Here is a 24,078-nt window from a genome sequence, read left to right as displayed (position 1 = left end):
GGATCCATATGTTGGAGTGTGGATTTCATAAAACTAGGAACTAAGGGGATAGTTGCCATTACAAAAAGAATATGCCAACCTTGTTCTTCCCTGTAGTGCTTCAATAGTCGAAGACAAGCTCCTATACCTCTCTAAGCCTTGGTCCTCTCAGCCAGGGAGCAGAGACTACAATGTGTGCTTCTCAGCCTCATCGTGGGGACTAGAGATGGCCTCACATGTTACCCATCAACCACAGTGTCTATTCAGCTCAGGCTCTCAGAGCTACCAGGGTTCCTTTGTGGACAGGAACCATGGAACCCATCACATGGCCCCTCTGCTTCCTCTCTCTACATCATCAGGCTTCCACAGCCTGGACCTCCTTCCCTAGCCAGCTCTGACGTCCTGGTCTTCCAGTCACTCATCCTCCTGCCAATTCCCACGATTTCCTGTGGTCCTATCCTCCCAGCACATGCTAACTCTGACACCTGAACTCACTCTCTCATCTCTCGTGCGCTCTACCTCTATACACACACACACACACACATCATCATCATCATCATCATCTGCAAATGGTCCATTAGGAGACAATCTTGGAAGTTTAAATGGTGAGGCAAAGTGTATGCTTCCCAAGATTATTTCTGAAGTTGGAGGGAGGAGACAAGAGTACTCACATACATTGCTTCCGAGCATGTAAATTGACATAGCCATTTTTTAGAATCATTGAGAACAATTCAGTCATAAATAATTGAATAAATATATATGTGCACATAAATATATATGCACACTTTTTATATAAGAGAAATCATAATGCAGATGCAGTTTAATATCCGTTTCATTTTAGTTAAAGTCATTAACATAAAGCTATGCATGTCATCATGCTATAATTTTATGTAGATCTGCAGTGATGACTTTCTTTTATTCTTGACATTGTTCATTTATGTGCTAATTGTGTGGAGTGTGGAGGGGAAACTTTGATTAGGACAGAAAGGAGCATACGGCAGCCACAGCCAGGAGAGTCCATCCACAACTGCTCTGTTCTTTTCCTTGGGCCTTGGCACACTCTCCTTAGGGATAGGGTGGCAGGGAGGCTGGGGCTGTGGAATTCATAAGGGCTCATCCCTGAGAAGAGGCATTATTTCCCATATGTCACTTGTTTTCCTGCCCACTGCATATGATGGCATCAAGTTTATAGACACCTCCAACAGGGTGTACTTTTTTTTAGAGTTGGGGTCTCATTATGTTGCCCAGGCTGGACTCTTAACTCCTGGGTGCAAACTCCTGGGCTCAAGCAGTCCTTCAGCCTCAGCCTCAAGAGTAGCTGGGATTACAGTCACCCAGCAAAGTTGCACTTCTTACAAAGGTTGCTGGTGTGGGCGGGTGGTGGACCCCTCCCTGTCTTCATCAGAGCACAGGAACCTCCATGTGGAAGGAGTCCAGAAGCAACTGCAGGAACACCAGGGTGAGTGGCCTTGATGATGCCCTTTTCTATCCCTCATCTCCAAGTAAATTTTGTGCCTTCCCTCAGAATACCTCTGGCTCCTGTGTATTAGTCTGCACTCCTAATAGTTTGTCCCAGAACTTGCCTCCAACTGATTCCCTTACCCCAGGGTTCCTGCCTATAGCTCCTGCCCTCAGCCCTACTGCATAACTGCTGCTGATCTTTGCAAACATGGATTCCATTCATCCTAGTTGTCTGCTCATGAGGCCTTAATGGCATCATTCCATTAATGATCTCAGAATTCCCCTCCATGCAGCACTCCTTATGATCCCACCCTCCTGTTACCCCTGTGCTGGAGAAAGCCAGTGGTTGGATATGAACCCTTCTCCCCTTCAATGGCCACATCCAAGAGCACGAACCTAGATATTTGGTCCAACATTATTCCAAATGCCTTCCATTATTCTAAAAATACCTTCTGTGAAGGTATTTTTAGATGAGATTGCCATTTAGATCTGTAGACTTTGAGTAAAGCAGATTACCCTGCACAATGTGGGTTGGCCTTATCCAATCAGTTGAAGGCCTTCAGGAGTAAAAAGATTTACCTGCCTTGAGGAAGAGGGAATTCTGCCAGCAAAATGCCTTCAGACTTGAACTGCAGCTCTTCATTGGGTCTCCAGCCTGCCAGCCTTCCCTGCATGCTTTCCAGGCTCCAGGTTCACGGGAGCCAATTTCTAAAAAAGTGCACACACACACACACACAAACGAGACACACACACACACACACACACACACCCCTTGCTGGTTCTGTTTCTTGGTGGATCCCTAATATACCAGGTAATGCTGAAGCTACTATTTCATGGATCACACTTTGAGTAGCAAGAAACTAGAGAATATCTGGCATGTCCGTACATGGCCTCATCTGTAATCGTGGTACCTTCAGCATTGTCTGTGAGAGCAAAGCTGTAGGAAAAACAAAAATGTTCATTACCATTAGTCCAAAAAAATACATTGTGGCTCATTCTTATATTGGAATATTCTATAACCATGAAAATAAATACCCTAGACCTATAAGAATCAGACCATATATTCGTATGAAAAACGAAATTTCAGATCATGATTATAAGGAGAATAAAGACACCTACAGTATGAAAATATATGCATACAACATATATATAATACTTTAAGAATGCTTTTATTCACGATAAAATTATGAAACAATTTATGGGGAATATAAACACCACGTTCTGGTTATGAGTTACATCTGAGGAGTAAAGGAAGGACAAGTGAAATGAGGGGATGGGCTCAAACATTCGTCAAGTTTATTGCTTAACCTGGTTAGTGGATACACAAGTGTTCATTTTATAGCTCTCTATAACATTTTGCATATTTGATATGTTGGATTAGTAACAAAAATTTTAGAAGCTGAAGGTTTATTCTACCATAAACATATACTCATTTTACCAAATGATTAAAATACAGTTAATTATAGAGATGAAAATATCAATAACCAACGATCCCATCATCGCTGGAAAAAGAACTGTTAACATTTTCCTGAACTTCATTCCCTTATTTTTTGTTTGCTTGCCCACGTGCAAATGTACTGCATTGACATTTCATAGAACTGTGATATATACGCAGTTTTATGCTGTATTGTTTTGTTGATGTTTTAATTAATATTAAATAATTTGCTATGGGGAAAGTATTGAACTTCAATTTCTATCAAACCGTATATACATGCACCTGTCTCATTTCTAGAACCATGCATCTGAATGCACGGATTGGAAATGCCAAATATGTCTTATACTAAATAATGTTACATATCTGAGACTGCTCCCGAGCTTTTTACAGTCCCCCTTTAAACTGTATGTCAACCAGTTTGTTCCCAACAAAGATGAAGGTGCAGCACCACAGAACAATTACATTGCCTGGCAATGCAAACCCCATTCACACGACTCTCCTTTTGGATGGTTGGGAGGAGTAACGATAAATACGATGAATGATGCAAATGCATATTCATCACTAGAAGATGCTGGGCATTTGATATGGTTTGTCTCTGTGTCCCCCCACACAAATCTCATGTTAAATTATAATCCCCAAGTTTCAGGGAAGGGGCCTGGTGGGAGGTGATTGAATCAAGGTAGCAGATTTCCCCCTTGCTGTTCTTGTGATAGTGAGTTCTCATAAGATCTGATGGTTTAAAAGTGTGGCACTTTCCTCTCTCTCTCTCTCTCTCTCTCTCTCTCTCTCTCTCTCTCTCTCTCTGTCTCCCTCCTGCCACTATGTAAGTTGTGCCTTACTTCCCCTTTGCCTTCTGCTATAATTGTAAGTTTTCTGAGGCCTCCCCAGCCGTGCATCCCGTACAGCCTACAGAACTGTGAGTCGATTAAACCTCTTTTCTTTATAAATTGCCCAGTCTCGCGTAGTTCTTTATAGCAATGTGAAAATGGACTAATATATCATTGCTCTGCTTGCTTTCAATGCAGTGATCCATTTACTCCTCATGTCATCTTTAAGGGGCAAGTACCATCCCAATTCCCATATAGCCCAAGAAGAAAGGTGAACTCCGGAGAGAGAAATTGCTTCCTCGAGATTAAGTGCCTCTCAACTAAAGGACAAATCCACATGTATCTCACTCTACAAACTCCACGCCCACAACCACTGTTTCTGTATTGCGTCTTCTTCTCCGTTAGAGCTGAGGCCAGCACAGGACGAGGGACTCACCCAAGGTCCTCTGGTTCACCATGGGTGCCAATATTGCTTTATTCTCATTTATGCTCTTTTTTAAAGACTTGGTGGGAAATGCTCCTCTGGTATCAAACTAGAAAGGAAATAAGAAGATTGGAAATCACCTGAAATAAAAGCAAATTATTTTCTTCTCCTTCTTAAAATTCCTTGCTTTTCCCAAGACACGGAAATGACACCCAAAACTCATACATTAGGTAAATATCTGTATATTTCTCTTTTCTGGCTATTATTTCCAGGTGTTCTCTAAGATAGATACGCTCTATAGTTTATTTGAAAGACATCTCTCTTATGGGAGGAAGTGAAATGGGCAGTATTAATGTTTTTCCAAGTCTTACAATGTGCCAGGCATTTCTATAGGGTTTCTCCTTTTTTCCCCACCAGAGCTCTCTGAGGAAGGTAACATTCCCGTTTTACAGATGATCAAGGATAGACCCACAGAACACTATACTTTTTCAGGGTCACACATCAAGTCATGAGCAGGAATGGGCTTCTCTCTCTTGCCCGCCTCACAATACCCCCGTTAGCCTCCCTTTCAGATGATGGGCTTCCAAAGCTTAAGGAGTGATTGTTTTAAGCTGTCCTAGAATTGTATCCACATGGGTACTCCCTCAACATGATATTCAGTATAGGAATAAAAACCTTGTGCCAGAAACCTGGGTGTAGGAGCCACATGGTTGAGCTGGTCCCTGAGGTGTTAAGCAAGGCTTACATGAAAACGGAGTTGTTGCTCTCTCTGGAAGGTGGCCTGAAAAAGATTACTGACGTTTGCGCAAGGATTTTAATCCACAGGTAATTTATCTAATTGAATTCTTACAGCTATTCAAGTTACTGTTCATTGTTGATATTATTCAGATCAGGGTACAGGGGTTATGGGAAGTTAAGCAACTTTCCCTAGAGAAATAAACTTGTAAATTAATGTCCAGGAACTCAAAACCTATAATTACACAGAGCACCATTATTTTTCTGCTCCGTTATCTGCGAAGACAATCAGTGAACCTAAGTGTGTTGTTTGGGGTTTCTTGTTAACAATGAGCATTACTGCTTCTCTCTCTCTCTCTCTCTCTCTCTCTCTCTCTCTCTCTCTCTCTCTCTCTCTCTCTCCCCCCTCTCTCTTCTCTCTCCTCTCTCTCTCTCTCTCTCTCTCTCTCCTCTCTCTCTCTCCTCTCTCTCTCTCTCTCTCCACAATGTTTCAGTTAACGATGGACCACATATATGACAGTAGTTCTATCAGATTATCATAGAGCTGCCCTATACAGGTGACTATTTTGTATCTTTTATACCATATTTTTATTGAACCTCTTCTATGTTTAGATACACAAATACTTAGCATTGTGTTACCATTGCTTAAAGTATTCAGTACAGTAACATGCTGTACAGGTTTGTAGCCTAGGAGGAATACGCTATAGCATATAGCCTAGGTGTGTAGTAGGCTATACCATCTAGTTTTGTGCAAGTACACTCTATGATGTTCACACTTTTACGGGATCTTTGGGGTGTCACTTTTCTGGCCGGAAACCTCTGTGGCCTGTGGCACCTTTGCTTGAGTTTTTCTTGGGCCCACTGGGCTCATTCCACCCACTCGACCTGGCAGGCTGCGCTCAGCTCATGCTACCGGCCTGGATCACACGCCTGCCATGGGAGACTGCATGGAGCAGCGAGGGGTGTGTGAGCAAGTGTGTTGTCCAACCACTGCACAGTCAGAAATGCCGGCTGCTGCAGCGGGTGGGGAGCTCCAGGTGCCAGCATGGGTGCCAGCTCTCCACTGGGCTGCCACTTGACCAGGTGCGCCACGGCTTCCACAGTTGGCACCAGGGAACGCTGTGGTGCCTTGAAGCTTGGAGACGCCAGGAACTGCAGTGCCTCAAAGACAGAGTCACAGCCCTGGCTCAGTGAGCTCCTCAGTCTGGGCTCCCAAACGGCCGCAGCTCTTCTTTCCTTCTCTTCACCTGCAACATGATGAGCAAGGGGCATGCCTCAGCCCTGTTTGTGTTACAGATCCTTTAGCCTCATTCAGTGGGTCCTGAGTTCTTATCCTGTGCCCAGGAAGAATAAGGTATGCAGACAAGTGGAGGGTGGGCAAGACGAAGAGGAGCGTTATTGAGCAATAGAACAGCTCAGAGGATACCCGAAGGGGGCAGCTCCTTTCTGCACCCAGGGTGTCTCAATGACTGTTCAGCTGCTAGCATGGAGGGTAGCTTCTCTCTGCTAGGCAAGTCAACCCGACAAGTGTTCAGCTATCAGCAGAGAGGGTAGCTCCTCTCTGCAGCTGGTCATCCCATCATCTGCACAGCTCTCAGCAGAGAGGAGGCCCTAGAGAGTGGGTGGCTCCTCTCTGCAGGCAGGTCATCCCATCATCTCCCCATTGTCTCTTCATCATCTCTGCAGCTCTCAGCAGAGAGGAGGCCCTAGAGTGGGTTGCTCCTCTCCGCAGCTGGTCGTCCCAACGTCTGCTCAGCTCTGGCTTATCCCAGGGCTTTTATGGGCCTCGGAGGGGAGGAAGTGCATGCCAATTGCTCCATGGGTGGCCATGGGCGGGCCCAGAAAGGGCACCACAAGTTCCCACTCCAGTCCGAAGGACTGGCAGCCCGACCCCAGCCCAAGTCTGGTCCCGCTCTGGTCCATGGGACTGGCAGCCCAGACTTTGGGCACCGACGAGCATAGGAGGGAAGTCAAGGGGTGGCTGAGGGCAGCTCAGTGCTGGCCCGCAGGGTGCCCCTTGGCACCTACAGCCTGGGCAACATGAACGGCAGCAGGAGGCAGACAGGTTCCTGGGCAGAAAGGCATGGGTCCCCGGTCAGGGACTACAGATTTATCTGAGTTTTAGCCACTCCGCATGTAACCAGGCAAAAAGCCATAAAAGCAGGCGCCCAGAAACATTTCCTCGTCCAAATGTCAACTTCTCTCCAATCTTCTGCTTGCTTTCAATCTTTCTCAAGTGCTTTAAAATAATGAACAATAAATGTTAATTATTCTGTGACACAGTTACAGAAAATAAGCACCACTAAATCTTAGCATGAAGCAACAAGAACGCAGAAATGTCATTATTAAGGCATCAAAATGTATACATCATACAGTACTCTAAGCAAACCATGGTATAAAAACATGTACTATGATAATCTCATAAATATTGTAAGGAGACAAATAGGTACTAATGGGAAATTGTTTTTAAAAAAAGCTTTATTGACACATAATGATTGCACACATTTATGGGGTACATGTGATATTTTGGTACGTACGTATAATGTGTAATGATCTAATTAGGGTATTTAAAATATCCATTGCCTTGAACATTTATAATTTCTCTGTGTTGGGAGTATTTCAAATCTTCTAGCTATTTTGAAATATACAATAAATTGTTAACTACAGTCAGCCTACTGTGCTATCAGAAGAGTATGGAGGTTTCTCAAACAACGAAACATAGAACTACCATATGATCCAGCAATCACACTACTGGCCATTTATCCAAGGGAAAGGAAATTGGTATATCAAAGGGACACCTGCACCCCTATGTTTATTGCAGCACTATTCACAATAGCCAAGATAGGGAATCAACTTAAGTGCCCATCAGCTGACGAATGGATAAACAAAATGTGGCATATATGCACAATGGAATACCATTGGTTAAAGGGTACAAACACACAGTTAGATATAAGGAATAAGTTCTAGTGTCCTCAAGTGCTTTTAGATAGTTATTTAAGTTGTTTCCCAGGGTTTATAATTGCTAGCTATGGGAGGTTTGGTTCAATGTGACTTACTTTGCCATTACTGGAAGTAAAACATGTACTCTGCCTTTAATTATGAAAAGAATGAGCCATTGACTTTCTTGCCTGAAGAGGTTGAATGCAATTTAATTGTGAAAGTGAGGGATGTCTACCTCAGTCGAAATGGAGAATGCAAATAGGGATGAATTCCTTAGTTACCATAGGCAAAAAAGGTTTCATGTGTAGATCTATATATTTAGAAAAGTGAAACATTAATTTAAATAAATCATGTTCTTACCAGAATGCCTTAATTCGAAATATGTGAGCTCTTATAACAAATTATTGGAATTGACTTTCCTCCATAGCATACAGTGTCTTAAACCATAGCATGTTCCCTTCAGCTACACTCTCAGCTGAAATAAATTTGCATGTGTGTGTATACACACATACGTATGTGTCAGGTATGAACATATAATAAATATATAGAGATATATTTTCAAGGGAAAATGTAATCTTATCATAACATCTCTTTGCAACATGCTTTTTTCACAAAACAGCATATTTTCCAAGTAATGGAACACATTTCTAACATGTTATTTTTTTGGTTTGCTTCACAAACAGGCTTATCCTGCGTTTTCAAAAATATTATTTTGTTTACTTTACCTGGTTATAAAATTAATGTAAATTTTCTGCCCAAAACAAGTAATTGTTTTGTATTTTCCTTTTCCTCTATCTATATTATGGTATTAATTCAGTTATATAAATTATAAATCAACATATACATTTTGTGTGTGTGTGTGTGTGTGTGTGTGTGTGTGTGCGTGTGTGTATATATACACACACACGCAAGGAAAGAAAATGTTTCTAAATTTTTAACTTTGTTTATCAGTAGGTGTCATCAACCCTAAACAACAGCTAATGTCCTTTCTGTCTCTATGGCTATGCTTATTCTGGATGTGTCTTACAAATGGAATCATACAGTATGTGACCTTTTGCATCTGACTTATTTTAGTTAGCATAATGTTTTTAAGGTACGTGCCAGTAATTTTTTATGGCTGAATAATATTCCATTGTATAGATGTACCACAATTCACTTGTACATTTATCAATTGATGGGCACTGGATTGTTTCCATCTTTTGGCTACTATTTATAATGTTGCTGTAAATATTCATGTACAAGTTTTTGCTTGAACACCTGTTTTCAATTCTCTTATGTAAAGACCTAGGAGTGGAATTGCAGGCCGTGTGTTCATTTTTAAACAAAGCTGATTTTACCTGTGAAAAATTGATTAAAACAAATAGACAAATAAATAAACAAACCTGTTTTTATGGTATTACCAAATGGCTGCCTGGGAGCAAAGAGACCATCAGGGAATATGGACAAATAAAATACTTGAACCTTTGAGAGAGGGTATTTACCAGGTAATGGTTTTCTACGGTTACACATAAATATTAAAAATGCAGAAGGCAGCAGGAGTTGCTTCTGTTACTGGAAATCCAAATCCATTAAATTCATTCTCTAGGCTTTTAGGCACTTAGGGTTATGTTGAGTATTTGTGACACAATTCTTACAAAGGCATAAAGCATACCATTCTGTAAACAGGCAAAGACTGTTCAGACAAATATCTATGCCTAATGTGAGCCGATTCAATTGAAATGCTGTCCCCACATCACTCACTGGGTCAGAGGAAAATATCATGGCCAGAGATAACTTGGCACAGAACTGAATTTATCCAAGATGTATTATCTTTGAATACCCCATTGTGACCTGCCAGCTGGAGGTCACACAAGAAAATATGACAGCACTAAATATGGCAAACAAAAGTTCATTCTGTCCCATCAAACATTTTTCTAATGTGGTATTTAAAAGTTTTTTCAAATACGAACTTCCTTTATTTGTTTAAAAATGGAAAAATGTGCTTGTTTATCATATTCACCTCAGAAAGTCTATGTGGCACATCAGGGATGTGACGTAGAAAACTTTTAACTCCAGGAAAGCCAAACTCAAAAGCCTATGGGGTCAAGTTGATAATGTAGATAATACAAGCAGGGCTATACAAAAATAACAAGAACTTTTGCTAACACAAGTTAGTACCCTCTCTCCAGTTTTACGGAAATGAACAGTAGTCTTAGTCTTTTCTTCACCACTTTTCACAAATTTTATTTTTTAGCCGGGCACGATGGCATGTGCCTATTGTCCCATCTTACTTCAGGAGGCTGAAGTGGGAGAATTCCTTGATCCCAGGAGTTTGAGACTACCCTGGGCAACATAGTGAGACCCCGTCTCTAAAACAATAAATAAATAAAATTTTATTTTGAATAGAGAAGTAATAATTGTATTATTTATTAGGTACAATGTGATGCTTTGAGATACGTAGATAGATAGGTAGCTAGATAGATAGATACACACAGATTGTGGAATGATGAAATCAAATGAATTAACATAGCCATCACCTCACCTATTTATCGTTTATTTTTAGTCAGAATGTTTAAAATCTACTCTTTTAACAACAAATATTTTACTTTTTACTGTAAGAAAAACAACAGCAATAACAGTACAATAAAGACTAATATTCTGTGTATGTGTGGGGATAGGAAGTGACAGGAACCACAGTGACTGGGGATAAAGAAGCTGCTACTCAGCTCCAGCCAGTTGTTTCCTTAAGGGCATGCAGGAATCAGTAGCATTCAGTAGCATTTCTATATACTAATAACATCCAAACTGAGAGCCAAATCAAGAACACAATCCCATTCAGAATAGCCAAAAAAAGAACAAAATACCTAGAATACAGCTAACCAGGTAGATGAAACATCTTTATAATGAGAATTACAAAATGCTCCTCAAATAATTCAGAGATGACACTAATAAGTGGAAAAACATTCCATGCTCATGGAGAGGAAGAATCAATATTGTTAAAATGTCCATACTGCCCTAAGCAATTTGCAGGTTCAATGCTATTCCTATCAAGCTACTGATGCCGTTCATCACAGAATTAGAAACAAAAACTATTTTAAAATTCAAATAGAACCATAAAAGAGCCTGAATAGCCAAGGCAATCCTCAGGAAAAATAACAAAGCTGGAAACATCACATTACCTGACTTCAAACTATACTACAAAACTATAGTAACCGAAACAGCATGGTGCTAGTACAAAAACAGACACATAGACCAACGGAACAGAATCTAGAGCCCAGAAATAATGCCACACACCAACAACCATCTGATCTTCAACAAAATTGACAAAAACAAATAATAGGGAAAGAACTCCCTATTAAATAAATGATGCTGAGATAACTGGCTAGCCATACACAGAAGACTGAAACTGGACCCTCCTTTTACCCCATATAGAAAAATCAACTCAAAATAGATTAAAGGCTTAAATGTAAAACCTAAAACTATAAAAGCCCTGGAAGATGGCCTAGGAAACACCAATGTGGACATAGGTCCTGGAAAATATATCATGATGAAGATGCCAAAAGCAATTTCAACAAAAACAAACACTGACAAATGGGACCTGATTAAAGAGCTTCTGCACAGCAAAATAAACTATCAACAGAGTAAACAGACAACTCACAGAATGGGAGAAAATAGTTGTAAACTATGCATCTCATAAAGAACTAATATGCAGAATCTATAAAGAACTTAAATCAGCAAGCAAAAACCAAATAACCCCATTCAAAAATTGGCAAAGGACATATAGTAAAATGAACAAGCACTTTTCCAAAGAAGACATACCCACACTCAACAAGCATATGAAAAAAAGTTCAACATCATTGATCATTAGAGAAATGCAAGTCAAAACCACAATGAGATACCATAACACACCAGTCAGAACGACTATTATTAAAAAGTCAAAAAATAACAAGTACTGGCAGGGTTGTAGAGAAAAATGAGCTCGAACACTGCTAGTGGAAATGTAAATTAATTCAGCCACTGTAGAAATCTTGGCGATTTCTCAAAGAACTTAAAATGGAATGAGCATTTGACCCAGCAATTCCATTATTGGGTATATACCCAAAGGACTATAAATCGTTTTACCATAAAGACATATTCACAATCGCAAAGCACTATTCAAAGTAGCAAAGACATGCAATCAACTTAAATGCGCATCAATGGTAGATTGGATAAAGAAAATGTGGTACATATACACCATGGAATACTACACAACCATAAAGAATGAGATCATGTATTTTGCAGCAACATGGATGGGGCTGGAGTTCATTATCCTAAGCAAACTAATGCAGGAACAGAAAACCAAATACCACATGTTCTCACTTATAAATGGGATCTATATACATCGAGTACATACGGATAGAAAGAAAGGAACAACAGACACCAGGTCCTACTTGAGGTCACAGGGTGTGGAGAGGGTGAGGATCAAAATACTACCTATCGGGTATGATATGGTTTGGCTCTGTGTCCCCACCCAAATCTCATCTTGAATTGTAATCCCCATGTGTTGGGGGAGGAACCTGGTGGGAGGTGATTGGATCATGGGGGTGGTTTCCCCCACGCTGTTCTCATGATAGTGAGTGAGTTCTCACTAGATCTGATGGTTTTATAAGTGTTTGGAAATTTCTTCTTCACGTTCTTTCTTTTCCTGCCACCTTGTGACGAAGGTACTTGCTTCTCCTTCACCTTCCACCATGATTTTAAGTTTCCTGAGGCCCTCTTCACCAGCCATGTGTAACTGTGAGTCAATTAAACCTCTTTCCTTTATAAATTACACAGTCTCAGAGAAGTTCTTTATAGCAGTGTGAAGATGGACTAATACAGGGTACTATGCTTATTATCTGGATGATGAAATAATCTGTACACCAAACCACAGTGACATGCAATTTACCTGTATAAGAAACCTACACGTGTACCCCTGAACCAAAAATAAAAGTTAAAAACAATAAAAAGAAAGGGTCTGGAACATGCCACTCCCTTAACTGATATTGGAAATGTTAGTTCCAGAGTTCTTCATTCCTTCAATGGGGGGATTTTGATGTAAAATGAATGGCATGAATAAATTAAGGATTATTTGAAAATATACGCACAAAACATGCAATGTAAACATATTTATGTAACTTGTGAGCTTTGGTGTTTTTTTTAGCATATGCTTTCCTTTGGAGTTTGGGAGAGGAAAAGATATTTGTGCCATTTCTTTTTATTATTTAATGAGTTATCCTGCCTATTTACTCTTCAGTTTAACATTAGAGAAACACACACTCACTCCACACATGTAGAAACAAATTTCAGTCGTCTTTCTCCAAATGAATATGTCCTGCAGTAAGTTGAAAATGAGAGTCTGGGCTTCAGAGAAAAGAGTGGGATGGACAAATGGACTTGAGTTGGCAGTGCCCACCCCCCCACAAAAATATGTACAGAATGAAAGAATAATTGCGAGAGACCCAGCTTTGGAAGTCATTATCAACAAATAAAACAGCAATACACATTCAATTTTTTTCTCTGCACATGAATTTTCTAATATATTTAGTACTATTCATTTTATATTGTCTTTTTCTCTCTTTGCAAAAATTGTTACTTTTCCATTGCAGCAGAGGTGGACTATAGAGATAATCGCCACCTGCTGGTCAAAGCCAGAACTACATCTCCGAATGTCAGGGAGGAGGCTCTCTAAGGATTTGGAGAGCAAGGGGCCTCTGGCCTGACCCACCAAACAGGGCATGCTGGAGGCTTGAATGGCACAGGCAGCCCTTCCTGCTTAATCTATTGCTGCCTGGCTCTCTGAGATCCTGGCAGGAAGTTCCACCCCTGTCTCAAATAAAGAGAAAGCCATCAGTGTGTCTCTGAGAAACGGTATATCAGTGCATGTGTGTGCGTGTGTCGATATTTTGTATTTTGGGTTATATCCTTTTAAACACATTTGATTTATAACATGTACTTATTCACACGGGAGTATTAACAATAAGGGGGACCAATCATATTGTAAATACAATGTGAAATTTCCTCTTTAAAAGAAATCTCACAATTAAGTATGAATTCCTTTTGAAAAATTAATTATACTGTAAATTGTAAGATGTACAACATGATGTTATAAGATACATACATATATATAGTAAAATGGTTACTGTAGTGGAACAGATTAACATATCCATCATCTCACAGAGTTTCCTATTTTCCTCCTTGTGGCAAGAACAGCTGTAATCTACACATTTAGCAAAAATTTCGAATGCAATATACTATTATTTACTATAGTCCTCATATTGTATGTTAGATCTTTTGTTTTGTTCATCCTACATGTTTGCGCTTTGTATCTTTGATGTATACATCTCCCCATTTCCTTCTCCCACCCTAACCCTTGTAATCACTATTGTCTTGTCTCTCTATATATATTTGACCTTTTAAAAATATTTGACACATAAGTGGGAATGTGCAATATTTGTCTTTCTGTGTCTGGCTTATTTCATTTAGTATAATGATCTCCAGATCCATCCATGTTGTGGCAAATGGCAGGATCTCCTTGTTTTTTATACTACATTATTTATATTACTTAGTGCAAATTGCTTTCCAGTCCAGTAGACTTACACAAAATAAATTACTGAGATTAGATTATTATAACGTTTTTATTTTTTTCACAAATTTATCACAATTACTTTCTTAAATCACAAAACTAATATATGTTTGTAATTGATAGAAGCTGAGCAAAAGACATGCTTATGTGGAAAATGAAATGATCCTGTATCTACCTCCTTCACTCTGCTGAGGTATCCTTTGTTAATGGTGTGGAGCATATTCAACAGATGATTTTTTTTCTCCATAGAAAGAAAATGTTCATGAGAATATATATGGAAATATATATGTACAAAATACATAAAGATGTACAATGTGTATGAACATGTGTTATGAGATGAATGTTTCTATCCTCCCAAATTTACACATTGAAGCCCTAGCTTCCAAGGTGATAGTATTTGGAGGTGGGGCCTTTGGGGTTTAATTAAGTTTAGATTAGACCACCACGAGAGTGGGACCCTCATAATGGGATTGATGCCCTTATAAGCAGAGGAAGAGAGAGACAGATCTCTCTCTTCACAAGTATGCACCAAGGGTCATGTGAGCAAACAGCAAGAAAGTGGCTGTCTACAAGCCATGAAGAGAGCCATCACCAGACGCTGACTCTACTGACACTTGGTCTTGGACTTCCCAGCCTCCAGAACTATCAGAAATAAATGTCTGTCATTTAAGTCACCCAGTCTGTGGCATTTTGTTATAGCAGCCTGAACAGACAGCATGTATATACACATATTCTTCATGAAAATGGGATGACTGCAAACTTTGTCATGCAATTTACCTTCCTTAGCTGAGAATAAGGTTACCTGAATTTTTAGTTGTGTGTTCATTGCTATTGGATATCTTCTCATAAGTTTAATTGCATTCCTCTAATTTTCTATGAGATTTTAAATTTTCATTTGTTTCTCTTCTGGTTAAAGAGAGTTCCTGGCATATAAAGTGGTTTCTGAGGTATATGTGGATAATTTCCCCTCCAATTTTTAATGCAATTTTAAATGTTAAAATCTCATTGATTTTAATGATGAAGAAATCAATACAGTCATTATAAAAGTTTTTAAGAATCACAGGAGTGTAGAGATTGCCACTTTATAAGAAGATTTTAGATAGAAGCCATTCAAAGCTCAGGAAGACATCATAGAGTGAAAGGCTTGGGTTTTAAAGTCCCTGGCCTGTGTTTTACAGACTTGGCACTAAGGGTAACTTGCTTAGCCTCTTAAGTCTTGGCTTTTCTCATTTCTCGTAAGCGATCCTTATTACCTACCTTGAATTTATTATCATATTTAGAAAAGATACAATATAAAATTCCTTAGACATAACTCAAGCTTTGATAAACAAGAATATCCTTCCTCCATGTCACATTCCCAAGGTCTAAAACCTGTACTTTCATCTGAATTATTCGCCACTTCAGGAACTGCCAATCAACATGCCTCCTATCCTAGGACAGGATTTCCTCTCCACAAACATCATCACTAAGGGGAGTTGTCTAGTATGTTACCATATGGGCATGACAAAGCTCAGGCACAATACCAGAAAAGTTTACAACTACCATTTCTTACCCCTGGAAGCCCACATCTACAATAGAAGCTGCTGGGTGTACTCTGGGCAGATCCAGTGGCTGATTTTCATTGTTGCCGCTTATCAGGATATGTGGTTTATCCTTGGCAAGCCTGGAGCTGATCATCAGTAAAATGAAAATAATGATGTTTTAAGGAAATGAGAAATCCATGGGAGGCTTTAGTGGTTACTATCTTAGCCTCACCTTGCCTTCTCTGCAGAAGAGATGTCTGTGATAGAAACTAAATTCATAACTCTAAGAGAGAACAGTTGGGATCCTAAGTGTATGGAGGGAAATGTGTGCAGAGTTTTTTGATGTATTAGCCATGGTGACTGTCCAGTATTGTAGGATGAGTTACCTGAGGGACTTTGGAAGGGAACAAAAAAATCCTCATGCCATTTCCTACCACCATACATGCTTTCCTGTCCTTAGTACTTTGTCTTTTATGTTGTAAGGGAAGAAAGACTCTTAAGAGGTGCAAGATGAAGAGATTTCCTTTGAGTCTTGGAATGAAGAGACAGTAAGAGGAACCAATCCTTATAACAGAACTGCTGTACAGAAGGCTGCAGTCAAAGGAACTGTGTCCCGATAGCAATGCTGTCACTTGCCCCCAAACAGAAGCCTCTTCTCCAGAAATGCTAGTATCTATCTTTGTGGGCATATATCAAAGTAGAGAACAAATACTATAACAAAATACACCAAAACATTAATTGTGTTTACCACGAAGGGGCAGGAGTGCTGGATATATTTTCTTGTCTGTATTTGACAGTATTTTCCACATGGTCCAAAATGAGTGTGGATTACCTTTATAAGAATAAGCAGGGCCTAAAAAATGTACTTTATTTATAACTAATAAACAACACCAGGTCTGGAGATGCAGTGGAAGGAACAGGGCTTGGCCAGGTGAGATCTGGGCAGTTACTTCAGATCCCTGAGCCTCAGGGAGCCTGGAGCTTAATTCTTCACCCACAGGGCTCCCCAGGGTGGGAGATGTGATGAAATCACCACATTGTCCACATACGGGCTCTATGCTGTTGTATTGATTAGTGACTGGTCCCTTCATGCTTTAGAGAGCAACGTTGTGGCATCCACTGCTTGAGTCTGTGGCCCCACTGCACACTATAACCTCATTTCCTTGATCCCAGCATTCTCAGCACAGTGTGATTCTCCAGGTATTCTATAAAGGGTAAGGCGCTGTTTTGTTTTGTTTGTGTTTGTTAGCAGTGTCAGTATCACCTGGGAACTTGCTAGAAAGTGCTAATTCATAGGCTCCACCCTAGACCTACTGAATCAGAAACTCTTGTGGTTGGTTCTAGCAATCTTTTCTTTCTTTGTTGTTTGTACAAATTTATGGGGTACATGTACTCCCCAGTTTGTCACAAGCTCCCCAAGTTATTCTGATGCAAGCTGAAGTTTGAGAACCATATTCTACAAAATTTAAAGTAGTAAATGAAAAGTGTTAATTGCTGAGTTAAGGAACGAATTTTGATTTTATTTCCATACTTTTTCAAAATCTCCATTCAAAGTACAATTTGTTCATTTTGTGAAATGAGTTATTTTTTTATTGAAAAATGAAATTGAAGATCAGTCAATGCCATCTGTTGACCCAATCCAGAACTGCAGCTTGGATATCACTTTAGCAAGGGATCTAGGAAGGAGGGAAGGAGGGAAAGGAGGGCTGTGTAAGCCCACCAGAATAAACTTTCTGGAAGTTATATGGCAGACAAAGCACTAAGCAGAGATGGAGACAGAGCCCGTGGGTATTAATTCATGTGACAGGATGTTTCCTTTGACCCCTCTCTCAAATTAAACCCAGTTGATTGAATTTGTATGTGTGTGGTTATAAATATAATGTGGTATGTGACCTCCTTTTTATGTTACAGGATATTTAACATCTTTTAATGTCCAGAAATATATTTTTCAGCATTAGTTTTGTAAATCAAACCACAACTAGGTTTATTCTATGCTGTCATAATTGTATCTTGGTTATTCTGCTAATTAAAAATCAGTGTGCTGTGTTTCCCAGCTCTTGAAAACACTGGAGAAATATACAATTATAAGAGGCATTATCTTGTGTTTCCCCTATTACTATGTCCTTTCTCAAGATAATCACTCAATCAGTTTGTAAATATTATCCAGATTTGTTTCTGTGGGCTCATTTATATTTTAAAATATGACATGTGTATATCCTTATGGAAATATATATTCTTCAAAAATCAGATCATGTTGCATATTATGTTCTATATCTTGCTTATATATTTATATATCTCAGAGCTTTTTATTAGATTTAATTTTTGGTGGGGTTAAGAAATTTTAAATATGTTGATTGCCATTGCCATTCATTTTTTTCTTTAAATTACCTGTTGGTAGACATGTACACAACTCTTTTAGCTAGTTAGATTTCCTTATATGTCAGGTATATTAATTATGTCTATAAATTATAGTACAAATATGTTGTGTCCAATGCAGAGCCCTCCCTCTGGTGTCCTAATATGAGCAGACACTTTATGGATGCTCTCCTGGGAAGGGGCGGTGTGGCATCCAGGCTGGATTTATCACTGCCCAGCTGAATGGTCTCTTCTACCTTCAGGGAGGTGACAGTACTGGCACCCATTGTTTATTTGTGAAGTCCTGGTCACTGCCCTAGGAGCATTACATCTGTGCACATTGTGACCTCTTTACTCTGACCCTAGGCAGTTTTGTCCATCAGTTCTCTCAGCACAGAGTCATAGCCACTTAAATAGAGTAACTCTTAGTATGAATTATATATTCTAAAATAAGAAAGAAAGAAGTAAATGGCTATTTCAAGGTAAGGATAATTATTATTTATCAAAAAGGAGGTTTCATAACCAGCATGGAAAGTAGCATTTTGAGGTTTATTCATTTTCCCAAATTAATACATCAGTATATTAACTGTACAGTCTGCACTCCCACCCCAACCAGAAGATATTCATTATTAATAATTTGATGTATATTCTGTGATTTTTGTATATGTCTTAATAAAATGCACAGATATTTATCCAAATGTAAAAGTATACTCTTTTATAAACTTGTGATTGTTCTCTACATACTGTGTTTATATTTATCTCTTTCATGTAGTATGAGAGCTTGTTTCACATTTCGTCACTTATATCGTTGGGCATATTTTCAAATGTTCACTGGGTATCTATGTTACTTTCATGTACTTTCTCTGTTGTAATCTTTGGCTCATTTCTCTGTTGGTTAAGGTATCAAGGATATTAACCATATATCTGCAATACAGGTTGCAACTATTTTCTTCCAGCTTTTTATATACATTGTACTCTTAAATTTTGCAATACAGATTGTGTTTAAATATATACAATCATGTGTCACTTAACAATGGCGATACCTTCTGAGAAAGGCATGGTTAGGTGATTTTTGTTGTTGTATTGATGGCAGCGGCAGGTTGTCTGGAGTGGCCGCTGCCATCATGCTGGCTGCAGCAGGGAGATGTGGCCAGGGCTGCACCCTCCATGGAGCCAGTGGAAGCGGGGACAAGTGGGAGCCCGGCCCCTTCGAAGTTCTGGTGGGAACTCCCTGTGTGCCCCTGCAGCCACCCAAGCCATGGCTGTGAACCTAGACATCCCTGTGCTCTTGGGCGTGGGAGCAGGCGGGAGCCCCCCCTCCAGAGCACAGCTGCAGCCACCCAAACCACAGCTGCAGACCTGGGCCTCCCACTCCAGGGAGCAGGCAAGAGCCCCGCCCCCACCCCACACAGCTGTGGACGCAGGCATCTCTGCACTCGGGGGCCCAAGAAGGCCCTCCATGCCATCGCAGTGCCTGCTCCAGCTGCCTGGTTTCTCCCTGCTGTTTGTGCCCACTCCAATCTTAGAGCAAAGTTGGAGCCAAGCCCAGGCACTGTTGCAGCCCGGCCGGGTTTGCACAGGCTCTGTGTAGTGCTGACATGAAAGCCCCTTGCCGCCCTGGCCCTTTCCGTTCTTTGGGCACTGACAGGAAGCCGAGGGGAGGCTGAGGGCAGCTGAGGCTGGCCTGCAGGCTCCTCTTAGCACCTACAGTCTGGGCGCTGTGATTGGCAGCAGGAGGCAGACAGGTTTCTAGGCAGAAGGGGGTGGGTCCCTGGTGAGGCCCCACCTTCAGGCCAGGGAGGGCCAGAAGGCTGGGGGTTGAGCTGCCAGTCCCATTGACCAGAGTGGGAACTTGTGGTGCCTTTTCTGGGCCTGCCCATGGCTGCCCATGGACCAATCAGCTCACACTTCCTCCCCTCTGAGTCCCATAAAAGGCTCGGGCTCAGCCAGAGCTGAGCAGTCATCAGGCTGAACAGCTGCAGAGAGGAAAAAGCCATTCTAAGGCCTCCTCTCTGCTGAGAGCTGCAGAGACGACAGGATGACCTGCCTGCAGAGATGAGCCACCCACTCTAGGGCCTCCTGTCTGCTGAGAGCTGCACAGACAACAGGACAATCAGGTACAGAGAGGAGCTACACTCTCTGTTGATAGCTGAACACTTGTCAGGCAAGTGTTCTAGCAGAACTTGCCTAGCAGAGAGGAGCTATCCTCTCTGCTAGGAGATGAACACTCATTGGAACATCCTGCCTGTGGAAAGGAGCTGTCCCCTGTGGATTTCCTCTGAGCTGTCCTATTGCTCAATAAAGCTCCTCTTCATCTTGCTCACCCTCCACTTGCCTGCATATCTCATTCTTCCTGGGCACAAGATAAGAACTCAGGACCTGCCAAATGAGGCTAACAGAGCTGTAACACAAACAGGGCTCAGACATGCTCTGTATCAGTCCATTTCATGCTGGTGATAAAGACATGCCTGAGACTGGGAAGAAAAAGAGGTTTTATAGTTCCCCATGGCTGGGGAGGCCTCACAATCATGGTGGAAGGCAAGGAGGAGCAAGTCATGTCTTACATGGACGGTGGCAGGCAAAGAGAGAGCCTGTGTGGGGAAACTCCCATTTTTAAAACCATTTGATCTCATGAGGCTTATTCACTATTGTGAGAACAGCATGGGATAGACCTGTCCTCATGATTCAATTACCTCCCACCGGGTCCCTCCCACAACACATGGGGACTGAAGATGAGATTTGGGTGGGAACACAGCCAAAACATATTATATCCCTTGCTCAACACGTTGTGGCCCAAAAGAAGGAAAGAACACCTGTGGCTCTTCTGGAAGCCCAGACCTGGGAGTTCCCCAAGGCAGGGCTATGACTCCCTCTTTGGGCCCTGTAGTTCCTGGTATCTACAAGCTTCTGGATGCCACCGTGTTCCCAAGTGCCAGTTGTGGAGGCTGCTTGCAGTGTTCCTGGTCCAGCTGCAGCCTTGCAGAGAGCCAGCACCCATGCTGGAACCTGGAGTTTCCTGCTGTGCTGCAGCAGCCAGCATATCGGACTGCACGGTGGGTGGACCCCATGCTGGTTCACACACCCCTTGGCTGTCAATTTATAAATGTACAAGTGAAATGTGGTACATCCATACAATGGAATATTATTCAGGTATTATTCTAGGTATTTTGTTCTTTTTTTGGCTATTCTGAATGGGATTGTGTTCTTGATTTGGCTCTCAGTTTGGATGTTATTAGTATATAGAAATGCTACTGAATGCTACTGATTCCTGCATGCCCTTAAGGAAACAACTGGCTGGAGCTGAGTAGCAGCTTCTTTATCCCCAGTCACTGTGGTTCCTGTCACTTCCTATCCCCACACATACACAGAATATTAGTCTTTATTGTACTGTTATTGCTGTTGTTTTTCTTACAGTAAAAAGTAAAATATTTGTTGTTAAAAGAGTAGATTTTAAACATTCTGACTAAAAATAAACGATAAATAGGTGAGGTGATGGCTATGTTAATTCATTTGATTTCATCATTCCACAATCTGTGTGTATCTATCTATCTAGCTACCTATCTATCTACGTATCTCAAAGCATCACATTGTACCTAATAAATAATACAATTATTACTTCTCTATTCAAAATAAAATTTTATTTATTTATTGTTTTAGAGACGGGGTCTCACTATGTTGCCCAGGGTAGTCTCAAACTCCTGGGATCAAGGAATTCTCCCACTTCAGCCTCCTGAAGTAAGATGGGACAATAGGCACATGCCATCGTGCCCGGCTAAAAAATAAAATTTGTGAAAAGTGGTGAAGAAAAGACTAAGACTACTGTTCATTTCCGTAAAACTGGAGAGAGGGTACTAACTTGTGTTAGCAAAAGTTCTTGTTATTTTTGTATAGCCCTGCTTGTATTATCTACATTATCAACTTGACCCCATAGGCTTTTGAGTTTGGCTTTCCTGGAGTTAAAAGTTTTCTACGTCACATCCCTGATGTGCCACATAGACTTTCTGAGGTGAATATGATAAACAAGCACATTTTTCCATTTTTAAACAAATAAAGGAAGTTCGTATTTGAAAAAACTTTTAAATACCACATTAGAAAAATGTTTGATGGGACAGAATGAACTTTTGTTTGCCATATTTAGTGCTGTCATATTTTCTTGTGTGACCTCCAGCTGGCAGGTCACAATGGGGTATTCAAAGATAATACATCTTGGATAAATTCAGTTCTGTGCCAAGTTATCTCTGGCCATGATATTTTCCTCTGACCCAGTGAGTGATGTGGGGACAGCATTTCAATTGAATCGGCTCACATTAGGCATAGATATTTGTCTGAACAGTCTTTGCCTGTTTACAGAATGGTATGCTTTATGCCTTTGTAAGAATTGTGTCACAAATACTCAACATAACCCTAAGTGCCTAAAAGCCTAGAGAATGAATTTAATGGATTTGGATTTCCAGTAACAGAAGCAACTCCTGCTGCCTTCTGCATTTTTAATATTTATGTGTAACCGTAGAAAACCATTACCTGGTAAATACCCTCTCTCAAAGGTTCAAGTATTTTATTTGTCCATATTCCCTGATGGTCTCTTTGCTCCCAGGCAGCCATTTGGTAATACCATAAAAACAGGTTTGTTTATTTATTTGTCTATTTGTTTTAATCAATTTTTCACAGGTAAAATCAGCTTTGTTTAAAAATGAACACACGGCCTGCAATTCCACTCCTAGGTCTTTACATAAGAGAATTGAAAACAGGTGTTCAAGCAAAAACTTGTACATGAATATTTACAGCAACATTATAAATAGTAGCCAAAAGATGGAAACAATCCAGTGCCCATCAATTGATAAATGTACAAGTGAATTGTGGTACATCTATACAATGGAATATTATTCAGCCATAAAAAATTACTGGCACGTACCTTAAAAACATTATGCTAACTAAAATAAGTCAGATGCAAAAGGTCACATACTGTATGATTCCATTTGTAAGACACATCCAGAATAAGCATAGCCATAGAGACAGAAAGGACATTAGCTGTTGTTTAGGGTTGATGACACCTACTGATAAACAAAGTTAAAAATTTAGAAACATTTTCTTTCCTTGCGTGTGTGTGTATATATACACACACGCACACACACACACACACACACACACACACACACAAAATGTATATGTTGATTTATAATTTATATAACTGAATTAATACCATAATATAGATAGAGGAAAAGGAAAATACAAAACAATTACTTGTTTTGGGCAGAAAATTTACATTAATTTTATAACCAGGTAAAGTAAACAAAATAATATTTTTGAAAACGCAGGATAAGCCTGTTTGTGAAGCAAACCAAAAAAATAACATGTTAGAAATGTGTTCCATTACTTGGAAAATATGCTGTTTTGTGAAAAAAGCATGTTGCAAAGAGATGTTATGATAAGATTACATTTTCCCTTGAAAATATATCTCTATATATTTATTATATGTTCATACCTGACACATACGTATGTGTGTATACACACACATGCAAATTTATTTCAGCTGAGAGTGTAGCTGAAGGGAACATGCTATGGTTTAAGACACTGTATGCTATGGAGGAAAGTCAATTCCAATAATTTGTTATAAGAGCTCACATATTTCGAATTAAGGCATTCTGGTAAGAACATGATTTATTTAAATTAATGTTTCACTTTTCTAAATATATAGATCTACACATGAAACCTTTTTTGCCTATGGTAACTAAGGAATTCATCCCTATTTGCATTCTCCATTTCGACTGAGGTAGACATCCCTCACTTTCACAATTAAATTGCATTCAACCTCTTCA

At 40.2% G+C, this 24,078-nt stretch overlaps 1 annotated feature.

The window, feature by feature from the left end:
* Positions 20,088-20,187: a silencer, noted in NCBI's record as "silent region_20918". NCBI's record gives its function as "represses an Ori minimal core promoter by ATAC-STARR-seq in GM12878 lymphoblastoid cells {active_cell/tissue: GM12878}" and the evidence as "EXISTENCE:reporter gene assay evidence [ECO:0000049][PMID:35858748]".

The sequence above is a fragment of the Homo sapiens genome, chromosome X (assembly GCF_000001405.40).
Source record: "Homo sapiens chromosome X, GRCh38.p14 Primary Assembly".
In the NCBI taxonomy this organism is placed as follows: Eukaryota; Metazoa; Chordata; class Mammalia; order Primates; family Hominidae; genus Homo; species Homo sapiens.
Note: the sequence above shows the minus strand (reverse complement) of the source record. Positions and strands in the feature narration are given on the sequence as shown.